Source organism: Homo sapiens, chromosome 7 (genome assembly GCF_000001405.40).
Source record: "Homo sapiens chromosome 7, GRCh38.p14 Primary Assembly".
NCBI lineage: Eukaryota > Metazoa > Chordata > Mammalia > Primates > Hominidae > Homo > Homo sapiens.
Window position 1 is genome coordinate 144,283,006 of NC_000007.14, and position 14,064 is coordinate 144,297,069.

Below are 14,064 nucleotides of genomic sequence, written 5' to 3' on the forward strand. Positions count from 1 at the left end.
ATGACTCGTAGGCTCGGCTGACCGAATGAGGTAGATAAAGACAATCTCCCTAAGCTGGCATCCCGGCATCTCTCTCTTCTCCTCCTTACACCAAGAAGAAACAGGAATGAGCCATTCGGGGTCTCAGAACCCTTATCAACTGAAATCCTCACTAGGGGACTCTCAGTATCCCAAGTGAAGAGAGTACAGTGTGGCTGTTAGGGGAGAGGGTGACTTACCGAAAAACAACAGTGTCTGAGGGTCCCGGATGTTTCTCCACGGCTGGACCTCTTGAATCTAAAAGTGGAAATGGGGAAGATAACTGAGATTTCAGAGGGATAGAGAGAGCCAAAGAAGATCTAGAGCAGGAGATGTAGGGGTCCAGAAGGGAAAATGGGCTTTATTGGGAAACTGGGAGGGAAGAAAGTGGCAAAGCAGAGAGCGTGAAAGAGATCAGTACCAGTGACGTCCCGAGCCACGGGTCAGGATGGGACTGGGACAAGTACAGAAGGCCTTTTCTACTCCCCAGGAGGAGAGCAAGCAGGGACTGTAACTGAAGAGTAGAAGGGAGTCCAAAATAACCTTGGGACATCCAAAGAAGGTGCTGGTTGAGGGAGAGACAGGGAGATAGAGGGGAAGAAGAAGGAAGAGCATCCCAAGGAGCTTGGAGGGCACTTCGGGGCTCTCTCTGTGTTGAGGTTAGGCACACATGTGAGCGAAGCCAGCAGAGAGAATGTTAGGAACCCTAGGGACAGAAGATGGGATGAGGTGGGAAGAGCTGGGAAAAGCTTGGTCTGATGTGTCACTGTGGTCCCGGTTCTTGCTCACCTGAAGAGCCCTCAGGCAAGATGGAAGGTCTGCGCAGGCCCTGCCGGCTCCAGCCCTTGTGCTTGTTGGCCCCCTCACTAGGAGCCACAGCCTGTCCACTGCTGTCCCCTGGTGGCCTCCCTGAGTCCCGCCTGTGGGGCCAGCTGGACGCCTTCTCCAGGTGCAGATGGCTGGGTTTTTCTGGCTGCCTTGCTTGGCCCACAGGTGACCTCCCTGGGCCACTGGCTCCTTGCTGAGGGGTTGTCCTTCTCAAAGGTTCTCTCGCAGGGGCCTCAGGGTGTTCTGAGACCCCTGCTTCATCCTTAGAGGTGGGTCCCTGGAGCTCCGGAGTCCAGGGAGTGGTAGGGGAAGAGGGGCATAGGAAGTTTGTCATGTTGCTGAAAGCCATGCCAGGGGACACTTCGCTCTTACTCCTGCTGGTGGAAGTGAAAGACTCTGTTGATCTAGCTGTGGCCGGGGGCCAGGAGGTGCGTCCAGCAGAGGCAGGGAGGGGGACTGTCCAGTCTTGACAAGCAGGTCTTGTTTTGGCATGACCCCCTGAGTTCATATGTCCTCCCCAAGTGCTCCTGCTCCTCCCCCTGGACTTTGGGGGCAATGGGGGTGGTTCGGTGGGAGGGTCTATGATGGGTAGTGGGGGTAGAGGCCTGTAGATCCTTGAGCTACCAGGAGCAGAAATGGGAGGAAGGTGGGGCTGCGGCAAATCAGGGGTAGGGGGTAGCGGCTTGTTGTATCTCCACCTGGGGGTGGCCTGAGCATGGTGGGAGCTGTCTGGGGTAGATGGCAGAGGTCGGTGCTGCCTGGCCACAGCGGGGTCAGAGGCTTGGGGAAGTGGGCCTTTATGGGGGGCATGCAGCCCTGAACCTAGGGCCAATGGAGGAGGGTGGCTATGCTGCTTCAGCGTGGGAACCACTACACGAGCATGGCCATCTGTCTCCACCACGGAGGGATGGGTGTCCCTCCTCTGTGGGGGAGGAGGGGGCAGAGGTTCGTGGATCCTCACATCCTCCATGGAGACAAAGGATGGGGAAGAACCGTAGGCGGGAGACTCTGTGGCAAAGGCTGGATTATGTGGGGAGACCCAGGGCTGGATGCTGGGAGGACTGCTGGGTCTCTCTAGATTTGAGATGGATTCTTGAGAGTCCTGCTTCAGCGTGGATAAGGCAGTAGGGGATGCTGAAACGGTGCTGTAGTCCCTACCACTCCTTCTGTCCCTTCTTGGGGTCACAGAGCTGTAGATGGCAGGTTTGGGGGGCCTCTGGGGCAGCTCTGAGTGGGAGTAGGAAAGCAACATTCCCACCAGGTCTGGAGTCTGCTCTGTCCTGTGAGAACCAGGGAAGGAGTCACTCCGTAAGTGCTGGACGGTGCCTGTGGAGTTGGCTGGGGGCCTCGGAGGGCTGGTCCCGGTGGAGGGGAAGCCATAGAGGGCAGCCGGGCACATCTCAGAAGTCCCACAGGGAGATGGGTCATCCATTGAGAGAGGGGCACTGGCAGTTTCTGGAGCACGTGCAGCACAAGAGGTTTCCCTCCTGGGAAAGGCAACTGGGGGCCTGGCAGATACCGAGGCAGGTGTGATGGGGTAGGCTTCAGCAGGACTGGGAGGAGCTGAATCTGGTGTCCTTGGAGGAGTCACAGATGCACTGGCAAAGACCACCTCAGTCCCTTGGCTGGACACTGTTCCCTTCCTCAGCCTGGATCCCTCTTGCTGGCTGTTTTGATCTATTTCCTTGTCAGGTGACTCCTCAGTCAAAAAGGAGCCCAGTAGAGAAATGGGCTGGTGAGAGCACCTGATGGGCTCTAGCGAGGGAGACAGAGCTGCGGGGGACAGTTCCTCAGCCCTGGACTCTGTCTGAGTCCCGGGAATCTGAGTCACGAGATATGAGGCACCTGGAAACAGGTCACAGTGAGGAGAGTCCTCAGGGGCTATCAGAGCGGGCATTGAAGGCCCATGATGCTCATTCTCCTCTTCCCTGCTCCTCGCTCTTCCCACTGCCCCCAGCCTGCCCCCATCCCAACTCTCTGGCTCTTTCGCCTCCTGCCCGCTGACTGGCACCCCTTTCTCCTTTATACCATGATCTTCTTGCTTTCCAGTTACTTCCTCTGATTTTCCCAAAAAGGTTTGACTCTTTTCGTCCTGAGAGTCCGCCCTGTTCTCTTCTGGCACCTGCAGCTCCCTCTTCCTCTCTTCTCCCTGTTCTGGACCTCCCTGACCCTGAGCCTTCCTCTCCATATCCTCCTGCTCCCACTCACCGTCATTCAGACCCTCTGGCTCCCCAGTGAGCCCCATTCTTTCTCCTTGTCTCCCAAGCATCACATCTTGTACCTGTTCCTGTTTTTGCTTCTGTTCTCCTTTTTCATCATTAACCTGCTCTATCATCTGTTCCTCCCCTAATAGCCCATCGGCACAAACATCCTCCCTCAGAGTTCCTTCCCCCCGAAATCCTGCTTCCTGCTGTCCCTGCTCCTCCAGAACTTGGACCTCCTGGGGATGCAAGAGCCCTTGACTTTCCTGCAGCTCCTCAGATGGCAGCTCTTCCCCCTGCCTGATAGTCCCACTTTCAGCGCCTTCATTCTGGTTGGTCTCTGCAGGATGCTCTTCGCAGGGAGAATAATATCTGGTCTGACCAGAGTTATCTGAAGAGGTTTCCTCTTCTTCTTCTGCCTGTCCAGATCCCAATGTCAAAGAAGTAAGTCCTGGCCAAAATTCCACCTCCTCTTCTTCGCCTCCCAGGTCACTGGAAAATGGGGCCATGTCTAGATGCTCACTCTGAATGGGGCAGGCCCAGAGCTCTGGGGGAGCTAGAGTCCTTGCTTGTCGGCCTGCTAGGCTCTGGGGTACTGCCTCCCAGTGTTCCGGAGTGTCACAGGCCTCAGCCACAAGGCTTTCCTGATTGGGCTCCACATCTGCAGAACCTTCCTTGGGAAAAGAGGGCATCGTCTCAATCGCATAGTCACACACATCCCTTAACTCACTCTGCTGAGTTGCTGAGAGTCTGTGTTCCTCTCTCCACTTATAGGATGGGTCCTCATCTTCTTGAGCTTCAAGCCCCAAGGCAGAGACCTGGCTGCTCCTCATGGGAGCCTTAGGGATAATGCTGAATTCCTCTATGGCAGAGATGGGAGGAGAGGCTCCACGCTGGGCCTCCTCAGCCTCCATCAGGGCTGAATCCTAAGGAGGAATCAAAGACAAATGTTTCTAACAACTCTGCTTTTACCTATCAGAGGAAGAGACCATAAAAAAGAAGAGTGATGCATTTATTTGGTTCCATTTAGGGTCATTCTTTGAGACAACAGGTTCTCAACAAAATAAGCAATAGCCTCTAAAAAACTTGTCATTGATGTATTTATTTCATAAATATTTTCCTAGCGACCCTGTTAAGTGTGGGGCATTCAGTAGTGAATGAGATAAAGATCTTGTCGTCATGGAGACTGTGGTCTTGTGAGGGAAACAGGTCATAATGAACAATTAAATTATAGCAGAGGACCATTGTCAGAGAGTGCCCAGAAGCTCCCAGTTGTCAGTTCTCTCTAGACTCCATTATGTCATCTTCTGTCTCTCCCTGTCTACTCTTCGGACACTAGGAGTGACTCATCCTCATATAACCCCCAGACACAGCAAGGGACACACCTCAGATCTATTAGGCCAGAGAAGCAGTGTCAGGAGAGGGTCTTCCTCTTAAGCTGTGGACATCAGTTAAAATAGGCCAGGCTATGATAGCCAATGTGTGAGGTGCTATGGTTTCATCTTCTTTACAGAGGGTTTGGAGTTTACTCATCTTTCTGTTTTCCATAGTGTCTACTACAGCATTGTAACTAACAGTTTTGTTTCCAATTCTAGAGGCAGCTGTTGTAAAGTGGGATGATAACAGCCTTATTGGATTAGTGTTGAACTAGACACATTACCACCTTGAAGGAAGACCACAGAAGGGTGCTTTCTGCATCACCTTACTCTCCCCTTGGCCTCAGTATCCATATGAACTCTTCTCATTAATTCTTTTGACCTTCCTGTCTTTTGATTTCGACCTTCCTGCCTTTCTTCTCACTTCCAGCAGAACACCTCATCTCCTATTTTGCAAAGAAAATAGAAACTGATGGAACTGGGTTTCTCTCACCTCAATTTCTTGTGATCCAAAGCAACCTGTATTTCCACTCTTTCTATCTTCCGCCCTCAGTCAGGAAAAGACGTATCCCTCCTTTCCATGCTCTGTCATTTCTTGCCTGCTTCCCCAGGAACACTGTGCACTCATACCTTCAACATCCCTGCTGAACAACCCCTGGGGTATGGAAGCATTCCCACATTCTTCTCATCTTTCAAATGACTAGAAGGAGTTGCTCTTATCTGCTGTCTTCATACTCTCACATCCCACCTGCCTCCAACTGAGCTTTGATAGCGGCATTCTGCCAATATTCCCTACAATCGACATGTTGTTAATTCCAAAGAAGACCTTATGGATCTTCATTTTGGGTGGTTCTTGTCAGTATTTGACAGTACTGAGGTTAGAAATACTCTCTTGTTACTTGTGGTATTACATTTTCCTGGTTTTACCCCTTCAGTTTCCTCCAGTCTTTTTTTTTTTTTCTTTTTTTTTTTTTTTTTTTTGAGATGGAGTCTTGCTCTGTCACCCAGGCTGGAGTGCCGTGGTGCAATCTTGGGTCATTGCAACCTCCACCTCCGGGTTCAAGAGATTCTCCTGCCTCAGCCTCCCGAGTAGCTGGGACTATAGGTGTGTGCCACCACACCCAGCTAATTTTTGTACTTTTAGTAGAGACGGGGTTTCACCATTTTGGCCAGGATGGTCTCAATCTCCTGACCTCGTTATCCACCCGCCTCGGCCTCCCGAAGTGTTGTGATTATAGGCGTAAGCCACTGCACCTGGCCTCCCCTGATCTTTTAACTAGGTTAAATTGTACCCCTCTTTGTAGCACTTACCAACTATAATTCACTTTACTTTTCCTTTGTAGCATTTATACAATTATAATTATATAATGATGTGTGTATTTTGAGTTACCCTCTATTGCAACCAATAGATAGTAAAATTTATGAGATTAAGAACTATGACTTGCTGAATTATCCATACTTAGCCTAATAGTGGCCTATACTCAGTGTTTAATAAATATTTTTCACATAAAGAATAAAATTCAGGTCAGAATAAAATGTGATCCTTTTACTTCAATGGAATATGCCCACCTTTTCCCAAAATCATGATTAACAGTTTACACAGAACTTTAAACATTTAGAGCTCTATACACAACAAATTAATTTTTCTTATTTTTCATTCTGAAACACTAAGGTTTTCCTGCATACATGTCATTAAAAATAATGAAATGCTTCTTTAAATATGTATGTGCCATACATCTAAGAGTCATCGTATAAGATGGGTACCATTATTCTGCCCATTTTACAGATGAAAAACTGAGTTTCCCAATGCACTTTATATATATAATCCTGACACTCTGGGAGGCTGAGGCAGGTTGACTGCTTGAATCTAGGAGTTTGAGACCAGCCTGGACAACCTGGTGAAACCCTGTCTCCACAAAAAATACAAAAATTAGTGGAGCATGGTGGCACGTGGCTGTAGTTCCAGCTACTTGGGGGCTGAGATGGGAGGATCCCTTGAGCCCAGGAGGCAGAGGCTGCAGTGAGCCAAGATCACATCACTGCACTCCAGCCTAGGTGACAGAGTGAGACTCTGTCTCTAAATAAATTAATTAATTAATTAAAATAAAATAAAATTCTTGTTTCCCTCCTGGCCCAGATTCCCCATATCTAATCAATCACCATGTGCTATTGACCTCGTCTGCTAAATATCCCTTAAGACTGTCCACTTCTATCCCATCCCTCTCCACTGGTGCATGCTGCTACCGTCTCGCCCGGGCCACTGCACCCGGCCACAGCTTGGGCACTGGCCTCCACCCATTTCACGTTATTCCAGTCCTTTCTCCATACAGCACCTAAGTGAGCTTCAAAAGCACCAGTTCTAGCTTAGATTCTTCAGCAGCCTCTGAATGCTCTTGAGATGAAATCTAAATCTTCAGCATGGGTTATACTCCCTGCACAACCTGGCTCTGCCTTCTTCTCTAGCAGCCTATTCACCTGTCACCATCTGTCCCTGCCCCCATCCCCCCCCTCTCCCACTGGCTTTCAGTGTCTTTAGCTCACTTCTCTCTGTGTCTCTCACCTGTAGGCCTTTGTAGACACTGCTCCTCTGCCTGGAATCCTCTTTTGCAACAGAGAATCCTTTGCTTCTCCTCAAACACACCTTGCACTTGTCATGTCATATTTAATGTCTATTTTCCAGGCTAGATTATGAGCACCATGAAGGGACAAACACTGCCATATAACCCCCTCTGCCTGAAGCCTAGTTGGCCCTCAACAAAGATGTATTGTATGAATGAATGACGGAAGAATATAGAGTTAGAAGAGTATGGATCAGTGTTTGGTTGTGCCTCTCTGGTATCTTTGCTGGTTTTAAGACAATTGTAGAAACCATTAAATTTATTTGAACATCCATTTTCTTATCTTTAAAAAGGAGATAAAAGGATTCCTTCACAGTTCTAGTAAAGATTAAATAAGGTAACATAAAAATGTACACTGCTATCTTTAAGGGTCATAGAAATGGTGGCTGTGGTAAATACTGTTGACCTGAGAGACAGAGAATAAGTGTAAGAGAGAAACACAGGATTCATAAAGCCGGAAGGACCTTCAGAGACACACAGAAACTGCTCAATTTACAGATGAAGAAACTAAAGGTCAAAGACCCTAGACCCTTGCTCAAATCTCCTAAGCAAATGGTATGGGCAAACCTGAAGCAAAGTCGCTTGACTTAAGTCTCCTGTAAGCACTTAGAGGTCCTACTGAAAGAAAGCTGGCAGGCCATCAGTCCAGAGAAGACCCCAGAATTCTATGGACCCAATGCTGCACCTGACCGTGCACCTTTCTTGTCTGGTCCAGGCTTAAACTGAAAACTCACCTGCTCAGAATACTGTCCTGCTTAGCCACTGTGTACACACACACACACACACACACACACACACACACACACACACACTGAGCCATCCTTACAAACTCTTGCAATAGAGCCTGACATAACCAAACAGGCAGGTCCCTAGCACACTGCAGAGTAGTATGTGACAAGATTCTGGCCATCCCAGAGACAGAGATACCATCTATATGGGGCAAAGAGATATGTCTGACATAATTGTACACAGGCAGAAGGACTTTTATGTCCTTTTCCAGTTAACTGACACCATATGCGATTGGCTCCCTATGTCTAGCCCTTAAGTACAAAATACTATAATCCCTATGGGTGATTCTGTGATGTGGCCCTGTTCTCTCAACCACACATCGAATAATATACTTGCTTACTTTAAGACACTTTCTGAAACTTGGCCTAAGGAGACCATGGGACTAAACCTGTAGTCTCTCCTCACTTACATCTGCATGGTTCAGGCCCTCTCCTCCATATACACCATCACGTCTTCAAAACAAGTAGCCTCTAAATAAAAGTGTGTTTCTGCCATATCTAGGGTATATCTATAAATACCATGTGCTACCTGGACATTTTCTGTTCCAATCTAGTGGCACAGTGCATGCCTGCCTCTGCAAGCCCATTGACACCGTTTCTAACTGTCTTTTTTCATTTGGAAATATCAGTGGTCACCTGCTCAGCCACCAGTTACCGCAAAGGGAGAACATACCCCACGTTCCCTATACTTGATCCTATCTCAGTGATCCCGTTGCAATCAGGCATGACAAAGCTAAAATGTGACAAAGTGAAAGGAAATCTGTAAATCATGGTCTTACTCACGTAAAGGCATCAGGAGAGAGTTTTTTGCAATGCTCATTACGTTAGAGTGCAAACATCCTCATCTCCTTCTCCACTGAGGGTGAATAATCACTGTTTATCTGTGTACAGGCAAAGCCAGGGCATGGGATTATGGGGATACGGCCTTGCTTCAGACCACAGACATTTTGCATCCACATAACCTCACCCACGTGTGACTTCTTGAGAGGCAAAGCTTCAAGTCATCCCTTTAACATAATGTGTGACAGAGCTCACTATCTTCCCTAGAGCCCCCCCCCCAACACCTTAGCTCTTGTCTATTTCTAGTCACTAGAAACAACACTGTATTTCAAGGATACAACCCCTCCCCAATCAAACTGCCAAATCTTTGAACTGAGACTCAGTGCCATATATATATTTTTGAGGACCATGCTTCCTGGATTTTCTAGCAAGGTTGATTTCAAATATTCTGACTTACAAATCACTAAAATAATATTGAGGTTAAAATAAGATCACCACATAGATATATAACTTTATTCACTGTTTGACATCACTGCCCTCAATACTACAAAGATATCAAAACAGGGGTAGCTTTCTGGACCACTGACTACTACAATGTGTGTTCTATCCATTGCGGGAAAGTCCCACCATGCCAGTGAAAGCTGTAATACACATTTATCTATTCTCTAATGTCTGAAAATGTCACACCAACTGCCTTATAGACCAGATAGTTTATATAAGAACATTATTAGTGTCAATGCTGACTTACACTCTACAATCTCATCTGTGGTCCTGGTGGCATCCACACAGATAACATTAGTGTGAGTGACGTGTTTGTGTATTAACATAGACCTTGAGGGTGACTTTGTTCCAGTCTACCTTGCAGGCACTATAAGTGATCAACTCCTGCTTACTCCACAGACACTGTGAGTGACCCAGCCCCTGTCTACACTAGAGCTGTTGGTCACCTGTTTGTCTACACCACTGACACTTGAGTAATGCTGCTCCCGTTGAACCCAAGACCCTACGAGTGACTCCATTCCTGTCCATACCACATAGCGACTGACCTCTCCAGACACCACAAATGACGTATTCCTGTCTATCCCACAGACACCACGTGTAACGTGGCCACGGAACCTCAGACAGACCGCGTTAAGGGCACTGATACACTCTCAGGACCTCTAATATATGAACACTCTTCTCTCTATTGAGAATCACTATATTCTGTTGACGAGAGGGATTCCTTTGCACTCCTCCTGATTTCTCTCTCCTCCCCACTAGGACCATGACATACATTCCTCCTGCATATCAGTCTCACCCAGAACTGACACGCCCTCATCCCATCTTCCCAGCTCCCCAGGACTCCTTCACTAGCCACGGCTTCACTTTTAGGCCCACAGATTGGTTAACAAATGACACCCATTTTGCTAAGGCCTATGCCAGGAACTTCTTCATGCTCCAAATGTGGATAAAACAAGACGTCTGAGACAGAGGCCACATCAAGAGCTTTTTAGCTGGAGCTGGGACCTCTGGATTAGGCCCAAGATGCAAGGCCAGACAGTGGAGTGCAGTAGGGGAGCAAGCTAGGGAGGAACCTCGAAAGGAAAACCACCCTCTCTCATCTGTTTGACACACCCTTCTCTCTCAACCAGACAAGAGTCCTGGCCAGAGTTCACTTCTAGGTAGACAGGAGGGCAAATCTGTCTTTGGAACCCAAGATCCAGGAAGGGAAGAAAGGGACTGAGATCTGGAAATGACGTAGTATCACAACTGGCTCTCCTCCGGTAGTCTTGCCGGAAGGCAACTGCAAAAGATGCTCAGGGGTTCTAGAGCTCTGCGTCCGCATTCTAGCACCCCAACGCCTACCTCAGCCCCCAACTCTAAATAACTTCTTTCCACCTTGCTAAGAATGCAACGTTGTGATTCACATCAAGCTTTAGGAGGCTCCCCATATGTAGGGAACTGGGGTGAGGGGCAGGGCAGGATTCACTGTTCCAGGTTACGGAGCTTTGGTTAACACGGAGAGAAGCTACACATAGACTCACACAGTATGCAAATACCTATGGAGATACATAAGGAAAGGCCCCGGCCTGGTTAAGGAAAAGGAGCCGATAAAACCTCTCCAGGTAAGGAACAGCCTAGAAAGGGAATCTCAGTTATTCCTTCTGATATGGCTTAGCTTTCCCCAGGGCGCCTACTTTGAAGAAAGAGCCCTGATTATTGGCCCGGGGAACGTCTGGGGGCAGGGTGCCCATTTCCTAGGCGGGACCCGACCGGAAGCAAACTTGTAGGCAACAACATTTCCTCTAGTTCCTCTCCTCTTCCCCACCAGGGTCCTCAGCCACACACCCCGAGCCCTGCCTGCGGGCCCAGCCCCCCCATTTCCGGAGCCTGCGCCCCGGACCCAGCGGGGGCTGATCCCTGGGAAAGGCCTGGCTTCCTCTTCCTTCCTGTCCCTGCCCCACCTCCGCCGGGCTCCACAGCCGCCGGGAGCCCAGGGCCGAGACGGGAGGAGGGCACCCACCTGGTCGGTGTCACATGCTGCTTCGGCCCCAGCGTCCCCTCCAGGTCCCGGCGCCGGCCGCAGTCCCCAGAGCCGTCCCCAGCGCAGGCCCGGCCGCCCCACCCGCGACCCGCCCCTGGCCGCCCGACGGGAGGGAGGGATCGGGTTCTCCTAGGAAGTTTCAGGTGAGGAAACAGGGACACACCTTCCCGGAGGAGGGGCAGGGCCCCTCCGCGCGCGAGCCCCATTGGTGTGAAAGAAGCTCCCGCGTCAGAGCTGGGAAGTGCCGGGCCGGCGGGGAGGGGAGCCCGGGCGCACGGGCCAGGCCGCGGGCTGTCCCAGGGAGCCCCGAGGGCGCGGTGCGCGGGCGCAGGTCGGGCGCAGGCGGGGTGACCCGGGGAAGGGGCGCGCACAGAGACAGAGGGAGCCAGCCGGGCCCCACGGTGTCCTCGGACGCCTCCGAAATCTCCCTGCGTGTTTGTTTCTTCGGAGCTTCACCGGAGCCTGACTCTGGAACCGGCCTGTCTGCCTGCTGCAGTCTGTATGTGTTTGTCTTTTGCCTTGGCCGTGCCTCTGGAAGTCTGACATCCGTGGTTGTACATGTGTCTTTATCTTCAGGCCTCATTGGTTTTTGGTTTGTTCGTTGTTGTTGTTGTTGTTGTTTTTTCTGAGACGGAGTCTCGCCCTGTTGCCCAGGCTGGAGTGCAATGGCGCGATCTCGGCTCACTGCAACCTCCGTCTCCGGGTTCAAGAGATTCTCCTGCCTCAGCCTCCCGAGTAGCTGGGATTACAGGTCCGCGCCACCATGCCCGGCTAATTTTTGTATTTTTTAGTAGAGGCCGGGTTTCGCCATGTTGGCCAGGCTGGTCTGGAAACTCCTGACCTCAGGTGATGCACCCGCCTCGGCCTCCCAAAGTGCTGGGATTACAGGCGTGAGCCACCGCGCCCGGCCAAGGCCTCAGTGTTGATTTCTCTTCCGTGATGTCTCCTCCTATAGAATAAAGAGTGTCTCCTCCATCTCCTCCTCCGCCCCCTTCTTCGTTTCTCTCTCTCTCTCCCTCCCTCCTCCCCCCTCCCTGTCCCTCTCCCTGCCTCTTCCTCTCCCCTCTTCCTTCTCCTACTTAGGGCCTAGAAGTGTGCCTCTCTGAAAGGACATGCCCGTGTCCTTCTGTATTCCCGAGTTTATTTTAGAATGAGTGCATATCTCAGGGTGTATGTTCCTTCTAGGGCCTGTGTGTGTGTGTGTGTGTGTGTGTGTATTTAAATCTCTAAGCCCATGTTTGTGTGTTTTCTTATGCCTGTATTTTTTTTTTATTCTTTCAGGGAAACGTGTTCGTTAGTCTTGGAGGCCAAGGCTGAGTGGGTTTATCTCTGTGCCCCTCCAGTGACTTCAAAGAATGCCAAAAGTCTCTCGAGTGTGCCTGTGTGCACACACAGACACACACAAAGTAGGAATCCTTTACCTGGGGGACAGAGATTTCTGTTATTTTTGGTTGAATCTGACCACTCCCCAAAGCCATTCACTACTCCAGGGGTTTCCATGGTGACATAAGTCAAGTGAAATATTAATGGACTCCTTGCCTATTTAGCTCTTAGGAATGCCATGGTCTACAGCCCAAACAGCTTGGCTAGACCATTTCCAGATCACTGTGCCCATTGGCTGTTGCCAATGATCCTGGTTGAACGTGTTCACTAGTTATTTTGAGGTGGCTGTAGAATAGAATGTAATTAAGGAAGTATAGCCTCTTCTGTAATAGAGTCCTGAACAGCTTTATGTTAAAAAAGTGTGCTACTTCTGCCATGTTACTCTGAAGGATTAAGTCTTAAACAGTTCAGCAGTTTTCAGCCTACTCTAAGCTGCCATGGAGTGTATGGGAAACTATAGGAAAAATTGGGATTAAGACTCAAAAATCTGGATTAAGAAGGGCAGGCCTTGCATGTGTCCTAGGCTCAGCAAAAGGGTAAGAACTGGGAGTACAGAAAGGCAAAAAGTTCAAACTGGGACTGGCTCTACTTCTAGGCTGGAATACAAAACTCATTCCCAGGTATGAGAGGGTCCTTGATTTATACCGAGTGAGCAAAGTGAGAAAACGATGTAATAATTAATAATACTTTAAATTTTCTTTTTATAGGATTTTTGTTTAATGTGTACCTTTTTATTTATTTCTGCTTTTCCTCCCGAGGCACATCTTCACAATGAAATCTTCACAAGCTCAGAACCATCAACTTGCTACACTGTGTTCCTCCAGTGCCCAGTTCACAGGAAGCACTCAAGAGTAGGATCAATTGTTATCAACCTCTAGCAGATTATTGAATAGACGGTCGTTACATGAAACTGACACTCAGTTCTTCATGGTCCACGATAGTTCTTATATCCAGAAAACGTACTTACGTTATCAACTCTGACTCCATAAGACAACTTTGCAAAGTCTTGGCTCATAACTATGTAAGCAATGAGATAACTTACTTTTCATTTCTCACTTGTTACTTACAAGTAAACAGCCCTGCAGCTCAGCTGAGCTACAGATTAACTACAGGTAATCACTTCAGCGATTCTGCTTTACCCATGCCCAAGATTTTAAAAAAGAACCTGACAGATCATTAAATTTTGAGATTTGCTTTTTAAAATGCAGGTTCCATAAAGTTACGCTGTTTTGCTTATATATACAGCAACAAATGCCTTCTTAGATATTTACTTTAAAATTCTAGTTTCCTTACCATGTATTAGCCAGATAATCTGTCATTTTTTAAATTCTGAAATTGTACACATATAAATTAATGTACATCTCTATGCCTGAAAGGTACATTTGGAATTACAACGTGTGTCAAGGTAGAGCAAAATCCCCCAGTCCACTCCTTCCAACCCCCTAGAAATTTACTCTGTTTGGTTTCCTCTTGATTGTCTTTAATTAACAATAAGTATGTCACATAGGTATCAAATAAAATAAGAAAAAAAATAGATAAAAGAGAAGT

General features: G+C 48.7%; 2 long non-coding RNA genes and 1 pseudogene across 3 annotated transcripts in view, besides 1 other annotated feature; 1 reads left to right on the forward strand and 2 right to left on the reverse strand.

Moving 5' to 3' along the window:
* Positions 1-2,998, reverse strand: part of ARHGEF34P (Rho guanine nucleotide exchange factor 34, pseudogene) — a 27,008-nt pseudogene extending 24,010 nt beyond the window's left edge. The window contains exons 1-2 of the transcript NR_033942.1: positions 808-2,998; positions 219-276 (exon numbers count right to left, since the gene is read on the reverse strand). The product of NR_033942.1 is annotated as a Rho guanine nucleotide exchange factor 34, pseudogene (transcript). The remainder of the gene's footprint in view (positions 1-218; positions 277-807) is intronic.
* ARHGEF35-AS1 (ARHGEF35 antisense RNA 1) overlaps positions 1-14,064 on the forward strand; it is a 104,269-nt gene that overhangs the window by 87,685 nt on the left and 2,520 nt on the right. The window lies entirely within an intron of this gene.
* The window catches only part of OR2A1-AS1 (OR2A1 antisense RNA 1), a 117,146-nt gene that overhangs the window by 44,433 nt on the left and 58,649 nt on the right, over positions 1-14,064 (reverse strand). The gene's annotated exons all lie outside the window — the stretch shown is intronic.
* Positions 1,270-2,153: an enhancer, noted in NCBI's record as "H3K27ac-H3K4me1 hESC enhancer chr7:143981368-143982251 (GRCh37/hg19 assembly coordinates)". NCBI's record gives its function as "activates a minimal SCP1, AML or CMV promoter by ChIP-STARR-seq in naive H9 embryonic stem cells {active_cell/tissue: H9 hESC(naive)}" and the evidence as "EXISTENCE:reporter gene assay evidence [ECO:0000049][PMID:30033119]".